Source organism: Homo sapiens, chromosome 2 (genome assembly GCF_000001405.40).
Source record: "Homo sapiens chromosome 2, GRCh38.p14 Primary Assembly".
Classification (NCBI taxonomy): Eukaryota; Metazoa; Chordata; class Mammalia; order Primates; family Hominidae; genus Homo; species Homo sapiens.
The window spans coordinates 122,966,635-122,984,087 of record NC_000002.12 but is presented as its reverse complement, the minus strand read 5'-3'; positions in this window follow the sequence as shown (position 1 = coordinate 122,984,087).

Below are 17,453 nucleotides of genomic sequence, written 5' to 3'. Positions count from 1 at the left end.
TGAGGAATAGAAGATAAGAGGGAATATTTTTGTGGAAATAAATTAAGAGTAATTCAGTGATGTAAGAATTATGAAGAGACCCACAAAATATTTTGGATAAGTCATACTGAAATAAAGAGGATAGTTTTCCTTTAATTAAACCAATTACTGTGGGGATTAGCAGATGATACCATAAAAATGAAATATTTAATTTAGGAAAAAATGGACACTTTTTGAGGATTAACAGTCATTTCTTTGTAGTCAAAAAATTGAAATTGAATTAAGTAGAACAAAGCCTCAAGCCAAGTATGCCAGACTCATTAACAACGGCAAATATTGATTGAATATTCTCTCTTGCTTCACCGTATTAATAAGTATATTCACTCTGACTTCTGCCTATTCTGCTTCATGAAACAACCTGCTCTGTAAATCTGAATGCAGAGGAATAGTTTCCACTGAAATTAAAGGAGACAAAAATCCCCATAGCCATCATAATTCAAGTGTTCGGATTGTTGCAAAAATTATTCTTGTGGGTGGGAACTCTGGGCAGAACAATATTAAAATGGTATTTTGTGGGTTAACTGGACTTGATCAGACAAGTGATGAATGGAGTTCCATTTGCTTTGTTTCATAGATATGAGAAGGAGGGAGTGTGGAAAGTGGAAACAGAAAGGAAGAAAACTAATATTTGTTTTACAGTTATCAAACACCTGATACATTAAGTAGTTATTATTTTCTGAATGTGAGGAGAAGAAAATGAGGTTTTTCAAAGCTGTACAAATTGCCAGCGTCATTCAGACATTAGAGTTGGAGTCTAAGTCCAAGTATTTCTGAGTCCCAAGCCTCTGACCTTCTTGGTCATCTGAATGAACATAAACCAGAATTGCAGTTCATAAATATTGGACTCAGAGGAGGTAACCAGATTGTTCTCCTCTGTGGTCCAAATGTAGACTTAATGAAGAGGAAAGCAAATTTTATTTCATATTCCAGTCAGTTTTCCCCTACAAATCCATAGAGTAAATATCAGCACATTGGGTAAACTAGACAAAACATATTCCTCATATTTTCCCCAAAATTCCTGTGGCCAGAATTCAGTTGGCTCAAAGACCTTTTTTTAACCTACATTATTCACACACTATTGATTGGTTTTAGCAAGCTTTGCCCCAGTTTAATTTTTTTCATACAAAATTTCATGGGGACGGATTCGTCAAGTGTAAATTGCCTGTCATGATTTTATGACTCCCATTATCACTTCATCTAAGAAGCTCATTGAATTTTGCATGATGTAAAATCCAAACACAACTGAGAATGTGCATAAACATGCCTATATTTTATTTTTTTTCAAAGAGAATTGTAGACTATGCCTATATATACATATATTTAGTTTCAACTAAAAATAAATTTTGGTAATTTACATTTAAAAAAATTTTTTTCCATTAAAAAATCTTTCACTCAAGTATACTCAAACAAAAGTGATTGCTTACAATGAATGTTTAAGAATGCATTTTTTTTCTGGTCTAATATTCAAAAAGGGACAGTCATGTTAAGAGAGAAAAATGGGGACACCTTGTAGTCATTTCCCTTACTGTGAATTCCTATGCATTTGGCTTTTTAAACAATACTTTAATTTTATATTTACTTTAGATTTAGAACAATGGCAAAGGGGAGTAAAAAGTGTCCCTGTATACATCACATGCAGATTCCTTTTTAATACATCTTATATTACTGTGGCGTATGTGTCACAATTAATGACTGATATTGATATATTATGATTGACTAAAGTTCATACTTTATTTGGATTTCCTTAATTTTTTTTTTTTTTTTTTTTTTTTTTTTTTTTTTTTTTTTTTTGTCGAGACAGAGTCTCGCACTGTCGCCCAAGCTCGAGTGCAGTGGCCCGATCTCGGCTCACTGCAAGCTCCGCCTCTTGGGTTCACGCCATTCTCCTGCCTCAGCCTCCGGAGTAGCTGGGACTACAGGCGCCCGCCACCACGCCCTGCTAATTTTTTTTTGTATTTTTAGTAGAGACGGGGTTTCACCATGTTAGCCAGGATGGTCCCGATCTCCTGACCTCGTGATCCGCCCGCCTCGGCCTCCCAAAGTGTAATCTTTACATAATGTCATTTTTCTGTTCTGGAATCTCATCCAGGCCACGCTTAGGCTCTCCTACACGATGGCAGTTGCTCGAAATTGACTGGTTTTCGATGACCTTGATAATTTTGAAGATTATTTTGTAAAATCTTTCCTCAGTTTGGGACTGCTTGATGCTTCTCTCATGGTTAGACTGGGGCTATGGGTTTTGGGAAGCAAGACAACAGAGATAAGTAGCATCTTCCATACATTCATATCAAAAGTACCTATCATCAAGATGACTCCTCACTGCCTTGAGGGAGTATTTGCCAGGTTTCTTCACTGGGAAGTCACACTTTCCTCCCTGATTTCCCGTGTTATTCTCACTGGAAGGAAGTCACTAAGAGTAGTCCTCACTTAAGAAAAGGACTTTGGCCGGGCGTGGTGGCTCACACCTGTAATCCCAGAACTTTGGGAGGCCGAGGCAGATGCATCACGAGGTCAGGAGATCGAGACCATCCTGGCCAACATGGTGAAACCCTGTCTCTACTAAAAATACAAAAATTAGCTGGGCATGGTGGTGCATGCCTGTAGTCCCAGCTACTTGGGAGGCTGAGGCAGGAGAATCGGTTGAATTCTGGAGGCAGAGGTTGCAGTGAGCCAAGATCGCGCCACTGCACTCAAGCCTGATGACAGAGCGAGACTCCGTCTCAAAAAAAAAAAAAAAAAAAAAGAGAAGGACTTCATGGTCCATTCCTTGGAGTGGGAGAATTTACTTAACTTATCTGCACAAAGTTAAGTACCCAGTTCTCCCAGGCCTGATTTGATCTGTATCTCCAGAGTTTCTGAAGTCAAAAAAAAATGAAACATTAGGCATAATGTATATTATAAAATTGTGAGCTTTTTATAGATATTATTCTTAAAAAGTAAGATTAGACAAATTAATTGGGGGTAAGGTCACAAAGCTTTTAAGAAATGAAGACGTAGTTTTCACCTCGCTTTGACTCCAAATCTGTAATTTTTCCATCACTTTCTAAAGAGGAAGCATTGAGAAAGTTGGGTCTGTCTTTTAAGTAAGTTGCTTGACTTGGTTTGTGTCCAAATTTCCTAATTTCCTGGCACTCATTTGGTTCTCCAGATGGCTCTGGGGCGTTGCGAAACACCAAGAGCTATCGCCACTGTCTCATGCTGCACACAGGTGCACCACTCCTTGGCAGCCAACACACACCCAGATGCTGCCTTAGGGGAGCAAGGGATGCAGAGCCTTTTCCTGAAGCCAGACAAGCCCCTGTTGCCTCAGGGGACTTTCTTCCATAGAAGACATGGAGCAAAACTGCCAGTTGAAGAAACACACCCCAAAGAACAAAAATTGGGTAAGAGTGTTAGAAACATTAGGCATTTTTCCCGTTGTACCTGCAAACACTTCATCAACACTAGAAGCAGGCGGCTTACTACGTGGATTTTGATGTGCCTTAAGAAGGCAACCATGAAAGGCAAAAAAAAAAAAAAAAAAAAAAAAAAAGGATCATTTACGCAATAAGAATAAAAAATGTGCTCTGAAAACTCAACAAGTCCAATGATGTTGCTGATTCATGATTTTGAAAATAAAATAAAATAAAATATAACAATGCTATTGTGTGCTATATAGTACTTTTTAAATTAATACTGACAGTATTTGATGTCAAGTAATTTTGTATTCAGAGTTAGGAAAGGTTCTTTATAACTAATGGGGGCATGGCGCCTTCTATGTTTTCATCTATATTAGCATTTAAAAAGAATTAAAATGTAAATAATAAGCAATTATTGGTAATAAATCACAGAGTGCTTGCTGATGCTTTACACCATAGATTTATATTATTATGAAATTAGACTTTTGTTTTTCAGAATGGTTCCAGTTTCACAGCAAAACAGAGGTACAGAGTTTGGCCATATACCTCCAGCTCCACAGAGGCGCAGCCTATCAGCTTTTCAACATTCCCCAGGAGAGTAGTCCATTTTCTACAATTGATGAACTTGCATTAACACATCCTAATCACCAAGGTGCTTACTTTACATCAGGATTCACTCTTGGTATTATACATTGTATGGGTTGGGACAAATGTATCATGACATGTATACACCATTATAGGAGCATACAGAGTATGTTCACCACCCTAAAAATTATGTTATCTGCCTATTCACTTCTCCCTTTCCCCCAAACTCTCATGATCTTTTTACTGTCTCCATAATTTTACCATTTCTAGAATGTCATACAATTGGAATAATACAGTAGGTAGCCACTTGAGATTGACTTCCCTCACTTAGCAAAATGCACTTATGATTTCTCCATGTCTTTTAATGGTGTGATAGCTAATTTTTTTCAGTGCTAAATAATATTTCTTTGTCTAGAGTACCACAATTTATTTATTCATTCACCTACTGAAGGACACATAGTTGCTTCAATGTTTTGAAAACTATCAATAAAATTGCTATAAATATCTGTGTGTAAGTTTTTATGTGGACATATATTTTCAGGTCCTTTGAACAAGGAGTCCAATTGCTGGATTGTATGGTAAGTAGGTTTAGTTTTGTAAGAAATCACCCCCATGTCTTCCAAAGCATATGTACCATTTTGCATTCCCACCAGCAATGATGAGAGTTCCAGTTGCTCCACATCCTTGCCATCATTTGATCTTGTCAGTGTTCTGGATTTTGACCATTATAATAGGTGTATAGTAGTAACTCATTGTTTTAATATGTATTTTCCTGATGACAGATGATCTGTAACATCTTTTCATTTGTGTATTTATCGTATGAACGTCTTCTTTGGTGAGGTGTCTGTGAAGGCCTTTGGCCCAGTTTTAAAATCAGCTTGTTTGTTTTCTTATGGTTGACTTGTAAGAGTTATTTGCATATTTTGAATAACAGCCCATTATCAGATGTGTTTTTTGCAATATGTTCCCAAAGTCTGTGGCTTGTCTCTTCATTCTGTGACTTTTGTGAGGCAGAATTTTAAAATTTTAATGAAATACAGCTTATCAATTAATTCCTTCATGGATTGTGCCTTCAGTATTGTGCCCTATTGCCATCCTCAAGATCATGTAGGCTTTCTCTTTCATTATCTTCTAGGAGCTTTACAGTTTTACATTTTACTTTAGGTATATAATCTATTTTGAGTCAATTTTTGTAAAAATGTTAAGGTCTATGTCTACATTCTTTGTTTTGTTTTTTGCATGTGGCTCTCCATGTGTGCTACACCATTTGCAAGACTGGCTTTGTCTAGATTCTATTGCCTTGACTACTTTGTCAGAGGTTAGTTGATGATGTTTACACAGGCCTATTTCTTGGCTCTCTAGTATATTTCATTGATCTATTCTTTCACCAATACAATACATACTGTCTTAATTATTGTATTTTATAGTAAGTGTTAATCCAGATAGTGTCTGTCTTCAATTTTGTCCTCCTTCAATATTTTTTGCCTATTCTGGGTTTTTTGACTTTGCATATAAACTTTAGAATCATTTTGTTTATATCCACAAAATAACTCGCTGGGATTTTGATTGGTATTGCATCAAATGTATAGATCAAGTAGGAAAGAACTAACATCTTTACAATGTTGAGTCCTACTTTCTGTGAATGTGAAATATCTCTCCATTTATTCAGTTCTTCTTTGATTTTTTTTCGAAAGAGTTTTCTAACTTTCCTCATATAGATCTTGTACATATTTTGTTATATTTCTACCTATTTATGTTCGGGGGGTGCTAATGTAAATGGTATTATGTTTGAAAATTAAAAATTTAATTTGTTTATTGCTTGTGTATATTGAACGGATTGATTGACTGTTGCATATTAACTTTGTATCCTGTGTCTTGCCACCTTGCTATAGTTGCTTACTAGTTCCAAGAGGTTTTTGGTAAATTTTTTCAGATTTCCTACAAAGGTGATCATGTCATTTGTGAACAGATAGTTTTATTTCTTCCTTCCCAATATATATGCATTTTATTTCCTATTCTTGTCTTGTCTTGCTTATTAACTGGTACTTCCAGTATGATGTTGAAAAGTAGTGGTGAGAATGGACATCTTTACCTTGTGCCTGATTTTAGTGGGAAACATTCAAGTTTCTCACCATTAAGTTTAATACAATGTTAGCTGCAGAATTTTTGTAGATATTCTTTATCAACTTGAGGAAGTTCCCATCTATTTAGTTTTACAGTTTTTATCATGAATGGGTGTTGGATTTTGTCAAGTGATTTTTCTCCAGCTACTGATGTGATCACGTGATTTTTTTCTTTAACCTGTAGATGTGATGAATTACATTAATTGATTTTGAAATGTGTTGCATGTGTGTAATCAATCCTCTTTGGTTGTAATGTATAATTTTTTGCAAACATTATTGGATTCCCTTTGCTAACATTTTGATGATAATTTTTTATCTATATTCAGGAGAGATAATGGTCTATAGTATATATTTTTTTCAAATGTTTTTGTTTTGGTATTAGCATGATGCTGGCCTCATGGAATTAGTGGTTATTCCCTTTGTTTCTGTCTTTTGAGATTGTAGAGAATTGGTATGAATGCTTCCTTAAATGTTTGGTGAGACATACCAGTGAACCCATTTGAGCCTGGTGCTTTCTGTTTTGGAAGGTTAATAATTATACATTCAATTTTTTTAATAGATGTATTCCTATTCAGTTTTTTCATTTCTTTTTGTTTGTTTTTGAAGATTGTGTCTTTCAAAAAAATTGATCTCTTTCATCTAGGTTATCAAATTTGTGGGCATAGCATTGTTCATAGTATATGTTTATTATCCTTTTAAAGCCCATAGGTCTGTAATGATGTACCTTCTTTCATTTCTGTTATTAATAATTTGTGTCCTCTACTCTACTCTTCTCTTTTTTTTTTTTTTTTTTTTTTTTTTTTAGACGGAGTCTTACTCTTTTGCCAAGGCTGGAGTGCAGTGGTGTGATCTCCACTCACTGCAACCTCTGCCTCCCTGATTCAAGCGATTCTCCTGCCTCAGCCTCCCAAGTAGCTGGGATTACAGGCATCCGCCACCCTGCCAGACTAATTTTTGTATTTTTAGTAGAGTCAGGGTTTCACCATGTTGCCCAGGCTGGTCTCGAACTCCTGACCTCAGGTGATCTGCCCACCTCGGCCTCCCAAAGTGCTGGGATTACATGTGTGAACCACCACACCTGGCCCACTTTTTTTTTGTTTTATTTTGTTTTGTTTTGTTTTTTGTCTTTTTTTTTCGCCTCAGCCTGGCTAGAAGCTTATCAATTTAACTTTTTTGTTAAAACAATTTGTTTTTAAAGAATCGGATTTTGGCTTTATTGATTTTATCTATTGATTTCCTGTTTTTAATTTCATTGATTTCTACTGTAATTCTTATTTTTTCTTTTTATTATAGATTTAATGTGCTCTTCTTTTTCTAGTTTCCTAAGACAGAAACTCAGATTATTCATTTTAGATATTTTTTCCTTATATGCAATGCCATAAATTTCCTCCTAAGCACTAACTTTGATGAATCTCACAATATTTTCTTTTAAAATTTCAACTTTTCTTTTAGATTCAATTGTTTTCATTTTTATTCAAGTCAAAAATATTTTTAAATGTCTTTTAAGATTTGTTTTGGCCCTCATGCTATTTAGAAGTGTGTCAATCTCTACATATTTTTTGGATTGTCCAGTTATCTTTCCATTATTGATTTCTAGTTTAATTTTAATTTTATTGAAGTCTGAGATCAAACATTATATAATTTTTGTTCCTTTAAATTTGTTTAGGTATGTTTCATGGTCCAGAACATGGTCTATCTTGTTGAGTGTTCCACATGAGCTTACTGTTACTTTCTCTTTTCATAGCCTAAGGTAAATGGTTACAACCTTGTATTTTCTTCTGACCTGGGAAACACCTGTATAATGAGTAGCTGATACATAGCAAGCAAGCAAAAATGTGTTTCCTCAAGATCACTGTAAACTTATGAGATCTTTCCTTGCTCCATATACACCTGGGCAAGGCAGAGGATGAAGAAAATCACATTGGAATTGGGCAGGTCTAGCATTTGACAAGTTGACTTTGCCCTTTATCAGTTACCTTACTTTGGGGAATTTATTTAACATTCTTACCTAGGTTTTTTTCCTCTGTAAATGGGACTATATGTATCTCTTTGGATGAATTGATTTAAAAAGTAGACATGTGAATGTTACACTCCCTGACACATAATAGGTGAAGAATACAAAAGATACTTACTTTGCCTTAGAATGCAGCTTTTCCCAGCCTGTAGTAACTTATCTGTGTACTACCACACAATATTTTATATTAACTTATCAGTTACATTATAATTTTTACCTAAATGTTTTCACTCAGATGTTAACCTAAATATCTGTTTTTAAACAATTTTAGATAACTAGCATGAAAATAAAAATAGCATCACTTTATTTGCTAGCTGTTTTTTCTATACATTCAATAATTATAAAAAGTATGAATAATTGAATATATTCATAGTTTTTAGACTATCAACAGACAAATAAAACTTTGGCCTTGGAGTTTATGAGAAAAAAACTGCTCTAGGGATATTAATCTTTACTTTTTTCCCTTACACTACTATCATGTCTTCAGGCTGTAACAGAATGAGGCTAAAATTGTCATTTGTTTTATTTGCTGAATGAGGCTAAAACTGTCATTTGTTTTATGTGCTTCCACACAGATGATTCCACAAACTTTAGCATGTTGCAGAGTGGGATGAACATTATATTTGCAGTATGAAAATTAGATCAAATGTCTAATTCATTCCTTGCATCCATGTGAAAATGGAGAAGTTGCTTACTTAGATTCCACAGGAAGAACACAAAGAGAAAATAAGAAATTATTAAATCATAAAAAATTGAACAAATAAATATAACCATATTATACTACTTATCTCATGTATGAAGAATAATTGCTTCAGTGATTAATATAAACAATGGTGGTAATCTATTCAAAATTTATTTTTAAAAAGTCTTATGTGTATATGTATATATATGTAGATATATATACACACACACGAATATATATATTCCTAGCACATATATATAGCATTATATATATATTATATATAGCATTATATATATAGAATATATGTGTGTGTATATATATATAAAATGGAAGTTAGAAGTTATGTCTTAATTAGTGAGATTATTACACAAGCTTGTTTATCTCATCCCCATCTTGCCCTTTAGGCTTAAACCTCTTAGGGTAAGTACCACTGCTCCTTGGTCACCACTTTGTATTTAATACTTGGTCCTTAGTAGGAGCTCAGAAAAAGATAAAGAGATACACACATCTATGAAAATATAGATGCATATTTACTAAAGTCCTTTTCAGATATGAAATGATTTGGCTGTGATCACAATATTATAAAATTATTAACTGGTGAGCAATACGATATGAGTCACCCTTGAGCAAAGCAGTCCCCCAGAAAAAGATTACATGGGAAAGGATCATATTGAGCTGTAATGGTGGGGAAAGCTAAGCTATTAACTAAAATCTGTTCTCTACTTCCATTATAATTATGTTGTACCTGAGAAATGGTAAACCAGCCACTACTTTATGTCTCCTTCCCACAAAGGTACAGCAGTGTGATTCAATGCTAGCAATAACATGAGTGAAGTGAAATGTACCACTAGAGGAATAATGAAATTTCCTGCTGTGATTTCTACATGCTTCAACCTGGAAGAACTACTCTGGAATCCATATATAACTACAAAGGTAGGAGATATTATAAACAAACAGTGCACACAGAAAATTAGATCAATGGGGAACATCACACACCGGGGACTGTTGTGGGAGGGGGAGGGGGAAGGGAGAGCATTAGGAGATATACCTAATGCTAAATGACGAGTTAATGGGTGCAGCACACCAACATGGCACATGTATACATATGTAACAAACCTGCACGTTATGCACATGTACCCTAAAACTTAAAGTATAATAATAATAAAATTAAAAAACAAAAAACAAAAACAACAACAACAACAAAAAAGAAAATTAGATCAATAATGAACCTTCACATCCCCTGTAAGTTGGATTCCTAGGTATTTTATTCTCTTTGAAGCAATTGTGAATGGGAGTTCACTCATGATTTGGCTCTCTGTTTGTCTGTTATTGGTGTATAAGAATGCTTGTGATTTTTTGCACATTGATTTTGTATCCTGAGACTTTGCTGAAGTTGCAACCTGCAAACAAGACATTATTAGATAAACAAAAATCTGTTTTCTGAGAATTTTTAAAAACTATGTGACATAGGAATGTCTTTAGTGAGACTCTTGCTGGTAAACTATTTTGGAGTGTGAGTGTGTGTTGTGTGTGTGTTTGAGTGTGTGTATATATTGAAAATGTCTTAATTATTAAATGCTCATTTGGTTGGTTAAACAATTTTGGTTTGATAATTATTTTTCTCTGTACATCGAAAAAATTTATTATTGCTTTTCTATCTTGTGACTTTATTTTTGCTGATGGGAAGGGTGCTGTCAATCAAAGTTCTGTTCCCTAGTAAATAATCCGTGTTTCCTCTTGGCTGATTTAAAATTGTACCATTTCTTGTTCTTTTCACCATGATGTATTTAGAGGTGGAATTACTTTTATTTATTCTGCATAATTTTTGATAATTTCTAAATCTGAATATTAGTATTTTTCTTCTTTACTTCTGTAACATTTTCAGAATGTTCTTTAAATTTCCATTACTTTCTTTTAATTTTTATCTCCTTCTTTCTCTATATGACATGGCTTTTTCTGGGTTGGTCTCATACCAAACTTCTTTTTATTTGCTACAATAGATTTGAATTTCCTCTTTATATTTTTTCTTTGCTTTGCTTCTGTTTCTTATGTTCAGTTTAATTTCTTTGTGTGTATCTCTTTTTACAAAATTTTACTTTGACTTTGTCTAAGTTGCCGATTCACCTATCTAGTGTAATTTTAATTTCTAATATTTGCCTTTATGTATTAGGCTAAGATCTTATTCCTGGATCACATATTCAACTTTTTATTTTACTTTTCAAAACATTTGAACTTATACATTATTCAATATATATACTCCTTTGAATATATTCTTCTTCAGACTCTCATTTATAGCAGTATGTTTTTCCTTTTGTGTTTCATAATTTTGGATAATGTACTCATTTTCAAACAGCAGAACTTTGTGGGAATGGTATGTGAAAATACATACCAGTAAAGATTATTTGCATTTGGCTTGCAGTTCCAGGGCAACACAAATCTGTGAGCATTTTAAATTAATTTTTTTGATAGAATTTTGACTATGTGTATGACTCTTTAGAGGGCACATTGTCCCACAAAGAGCAGAGTTAGCAATTCTTTTTTTTCTTCTAATCTGATTTTTCACTGAGGATATAGATTATAGACTTCTGAAGGTTCCGGATTTATTTTCTTTCTATGTTCTATATCACTCTCCATTTTGACCTTTAAAATATTTTTAAATTTCTAAATAATATACACATACTGTTTTAAGGCAAACTATATACTTAAAATAAATAATAAAGCAAGAGATTTTTATGTTTTGGTCTACAGGAATCCATTCAAACTCAATATGTCTAAGTTAATGAGATATGGAAATACATTCAGAGCAGCCATACATGTGATGTCAACATGTCAGTAGGATTTTGTACTCTTTCTTCATGTTGGATGCCTGGGGAACCTTTCTTAATATTTTATAAACACAATCATACTTATAGAAATATCCCTGCTAAATCATGCCCACAATTTCTATTAGATACTTTTTCTAAAATCAAGAGGTATTTTAATGTAAATTCTATAATCTCAGAAATGAAAGTTTCTTAGCATGTTTTCTTCTTAATGATTGGATGAAGAGAGGAATGCATTAGTAATGCAGGTATATATAAGACTATTTGGAGAAGGAATTTTTTAGATGGTGAGAGTTGATGGAGTCCAGTATACAAATTGAAGTTTTGGACTTAGAAAGGCACTACGATAGTACATCCAATGTAACATGAGGAAGAGAAGTGTGTGTGTGTTTGTGTTTATGTGTGTGTGTGCATGGACTTAAATACATATATATAATTGGTAATAGAAAAATAACTCATACGTATCTGATGATTTCTATTTTTCCAGTGAATTTACAGTGAGGCATCAGCTGAGACTGTGTAAGGAGGAAGTTGTATTTAAGTTGTATATAAAATAATCATCTCAGGTCATTGCAAATGGAAATAACTAGGAAAATATTGAGACATTATTGGGCAGTGCTAAGGAACACTTAAAATTTGTTATCTTAAAGTAAGTTCAGATTGACAGATTTTATTTATTTATATATATAAACTTAAATTTACATATACATTTAACATATTTATATATTACTATATATAAATATATAATATATGGTAATATATATAATGCACCTTATATATTATATAATATATATTAGCTATATAAAATATATAGTAATCTCATTCAACAGTTAAGTTTGTATGAGGTTAGATTAGTCAGTTTTACTAGACTTGATTTTGGTCATATATGTCATTCGAAGGTGTTCAGACTCTGTGAAAAGCAGCACTGGCATCAGACTATTGAATCTAAGTTAGATTAGATGAGAAATAACACAAAGAAGATGTTAGCAGTGAAAAGCAGTTGGATCACTCAGCCTCATGCCACTATACGGCTGAGAATATGTTGGAGTTTGGATAAAATCATAAGTAAGTTTTAAAGGTAAGATATCATGTTTAGAAAACAAGATAATGGAAATCAACATTTCAGAAGTGGAAAAGTAGACTTGAAGAGTTTGAAGACCTGATGAGTCAGAGTACTAGGTGGAATTGCATGGATGTTATAGTCATTAAAAAAAACGATGCTGTTGCTAGTACAGAAAAGCATGCAGAAAGTGAAATAATTAAATAATTTGTGAATTAAGAAAAGTAAGGAAATATTGGTAGCATGCTGCAGTATGGAGTAATATATCAATACATCCACTGATGGTAGACTGATTGCACATCAGAGGAATTAGCCCTTTGGTGAATGAAGGGAAATTTCTACATCGGGAAATGAATTTTGGCAATTATTCATTATCAGAACAAAAGATAAGGTATCTAATGTGCATTTCACTTAGTAAACTTAAAAATAAATATCAGTACATTTCACATTTATATCTTACTTTTATAATTCATGAAGTCATCCTCTACACATATTCCTCAAATAATTCATCTTTATTACTTGACCATCTTTGAATACCCAATGTATATTTCTTCATAAACAGAATCAAGGTTTAAACAGGTTTGTATTTTATTTATTAAATAGGAAGATATATAACAATATGGCCAGTTCATGTCAACAAACCTCCTGGATTTTGTGGGCTTTAAGCATCTGTTCCACACCTCAGTAGAGCATATTAAGCACCTTTTAAATACTTGGAACCCTTGGGATCTCAGCCTGGTCAAGATTCTGTTACCAGATGTGTCTCAATACCAAAAGTGCTGCTTTTGGGTGGATGTAAAGTTACTGAGCCTTTTCTCTAACTATTTTGGGCTCATTTTAATTGCAAAAATAAATAGCACTTGGTGACAAACTCATGAGAACACAGAAAGAAAACCCTTCAGGTATCAAAGAAAACAAATTATACAAAGCACATCAAAAATTTAGGATTGGGCATTATGTGTTAAGTTTGAATAATTGGAGTCACTAGACAGCTAAAAATGTAACAATAATAATGATGTAATTGGCATTAAAACAAATCTGACAGATAAAATGTATAATGTTTTAAAAATATTTCTACCTGAAAATTCAGGTTATGAAAGCAATAAAAAATACTTGAGCAAAAACAATATTTGACAGCTTACAGTTTCCCTGGGGAGACAAGATTGCATCCCAATGTGATCACCTTGCCACTGAAATATCCTTGTCTATTATACCTCTTGTCCCCTCCAGACCCTTTTAACCAGCCTGAAAGTCAAATGTACATTAAAAGCACAAGACCTGAGTTTCATTGTCATCTTGTGATGAGTCAAATTTCCAAGGTGGAAAACTCCCATTTCACTTAAGAAGTAATTGCCAAAAAAGAGATGCCGCTTGGCATCTCACTGCTTTCTCCTCCATTGGCATGATTTTACTATAGGTAGAGTTTTGGTTTTGTTCCTTTTTGGTTTTTGTTTTTTAGTCAGGGTCATACATTGCAGTGGGTGTGTGTGTGTGTATGTATGCATGCATATGTGTGTGTTCACATGTGTTTACATGAGGAGCACTCTGGTGATAATTCCTTAAAGAGACCAGAAGTTCCTGAAAAAGAGAAGCGTGCCTGCCATGTTTCACTTGAGAAAATAGAATGTATTAGAGGAGTCATATATTTTCTTTCCCAAGTTAGGGAAAAAATATTGGTCTTTAATTTCTTATCTGTTTGCCTTTAATCAAATTATGTATTGTCTCTCCATTGAATTCTTCATTTGTAAAGTGGAGGTAATAATTGTAACAATTATTCAAACTATAAATGTGAGGATTTGGTAAAATGTGTGCGATAATTCCAACACAATGTCTGGGACATATATATTCAAAATATGGTCATGAGTGTTTAAAATAATGACAATTGCAATGTCCCCTCAAATGATTGTAACTACCAAATTCATATCTAGAAATTCTAACTCAAGGTAATATTAAGAAGTGAGACTTTTTTGAGGTGATTAGATAATAAGGGTAGAGCCCTTATAGATGGTATTAATTATCTTACATAAAAGGCTCAAGGGAGCTTATTTGACCCTTCCATTATGTGAGGACATAGCAAGAAGGCACCAACTATTATTCAGGCAATGGGCCTTCATCGGATACAAAATCTGCCAGTACTTTGATGTTTGACTTCCAGCCTCCAAAACTGGACAAATAAATTTCTGTTGTTTATAAGTGGCCCAGTTTATAGTATTTTGTTATAGCAACCTGAGTGGACTAAGACAACAATAATTTTATACTGGTATTGGGATTTTTGGTGGCAGTGAGAAACAAAACCGTGCTTATAGATTTCCTACAGAGACACCAAATTAACAACAATATATAATCCAAAAAGACATTATGAAAACTCAAAAGACAGTTAAAAGTAATAGTACCCCAGATAAGTGCAAAATCAATGAAAGCTGCATTGAAATGTCTAAGAATATCTGTTGCATTTTACTCTCAAAAGCTATCCCTTCAAGCAAGCAGAACTTGGTGCAATTGGAAGAAAACACCCAACATACAGTTTCTCCCTTGAAAGGGAAAGAATGAGGAAACATACGACAATTTATTTTTACTTTTTCAAAAGAATACTTGAAGAACTAGCTTCTGTTTCCCCTGACTTGAGCACTATGGAAACTCATATATTTTGGATGCCTGGGAGCCACAGAAAAGAAGGGAGAGCTCAGTGGGTTGCTGCAGCACCAGAGAAGCATCTGTACCACAAAAGAACACCAGAGGCAGCAAGAGATTTTGGTCTCATGGAAAATTAACTGGTAAACCTCTGTAATGAAAAAAATTCATGCACAAGGCTAGAGAACATACATCTCCAGAAAATATTTGAGAGGTCTCAGAATATCTAGCTGGGAAGACTGGTAAACATGTTTCTCTGGGTGAAGCTAGTCTGTAAAGAGAGAGAGATGGCCCTTTTTTCCAATATCCAAATCTCAGAAAAAAAAGAAAAAGAAGAAAACATAAAGAAACAGCAAATTTTGGCCCAGTCAAAGAACTAAATTATATTTCCAGAAACTGAGTCTCAAGGAAAAAAGATGTAAGAACTATTTGACATAGAATTGAAAATAATCATCTTAATGGAGCTCAGTGAACTGAAAAGAATGCAGATAGACAATTAAACACGTTTGAAAAGTGATGCATGAACAAAGTGAGGTAAAACTATAAAAAAAAAAACCTTTCACATAGAAATTCTGGAGCTGAAGAACACAATAACTGAACTGAAAACGTCACCAGAGGTGTTTAACAGCAGACTTAATCAAGCAGAAAAAAAAAGAATAAAATTTAAAAGCTAAAAAAGGAAAGAAAAATCACAACAATAAAACTATGCTAATGAATAAAAATATGACATGATATAATTCGTCAAGGCACTTGGATCTCTCCTGTTGCCTGCTTGGCCCTCCTCTAAGCATATTTTACTTCCTTTAAAAAATTCATAATTAATAATAATTATTTGTTAAATTAATAACATGAAGAAGTGGGGAAAATGTAAAAAATTAGTTTTTGTATATGATTTAGGTTGTTATCAGTTAAAAATATATGGTTACCTCATATAAGATGTTTTATGTAATCCACGTGGTAACCAAAAAGAAAATACCTATAGAAAATGCACAAAAGAAAGATAAATAAATGCAAACACATCAACTTAAAAAAATCAGTGAAATACAAAGGAAGACGGCATGAGGGGAAAAGAGGAAAAAAACAACTGTAAGACACATAGAAAACAACTAACAAAATGAAAATAGTAAGCCCTTCCTTATCAGTAAGTACTCTGAATGTAAATGGATTATATTAATAAAATTCATAAAGTTGAATGGATAAAAGGCAATCAAAACAAAACAAAAGGCAATTATATGCTATCTATAAAAATTCGTTTGAGACGTTAAAACACGTATAGGCTGAAAGTGAAAAAATGAAAAAAGATATTCTATGCAAATGATAACCCCAAAAAAGCAGGAGTGTCCATATTTATAACACACAAAATATACTTTAAGTCAAAAACTGTAATAAGAAACAGGGAAGGACATGGATAATAAAAGGATCAATTCACCAGGAAGATATAATAATTAAAATATATACGTACCCAACATCAGAGCACCTAAATGGATAACAATGATTAATAAATCTGAAGGGAGAAATAAACTGTAATACCACAATAGTAGGAGATTTCAATACCCTACATTTAGTAATGCATGTAACAACCAGAACAGAGACCAGTAAGGAAAGAGAGGACTTGAAAGAGACTACAGACTAATGAGACCTAAGAGATATAATACAGAACATTCCACTCAACAGCAGCAGAATACATATTCTTTTTCAGAGCACACTGAACATTATTCAGGATAAATTACATGTTAGGCCACAAAACAACCCTTAACAAATTTATGAAGATTAAAATTATACCAAGTATCTTTTCTGACCGTAATGAAATGAAATTCCAATCAATAATGAGAGGAAGACATAAAGTTAATACTCCTGCACTGTACACTTAAAATGGTTACGATGGTAAATTCTGTGTTATGTGTCTCTTACAATAATAAAAAAAAAGATTGTATAACAAGGTTAAGGAGAGAATATTGTGAGGTCAGCCAGAGGGGTAGAAATAAAACCAAATAAATGTTATGTAATGGAAATCATAAGAAGAGAATGTATGTCAAAAAGAAAACAATTCACAACCGTACTGAATGCTTCAGAGAGGTCAAGGAAAGTAAGGACAGGAA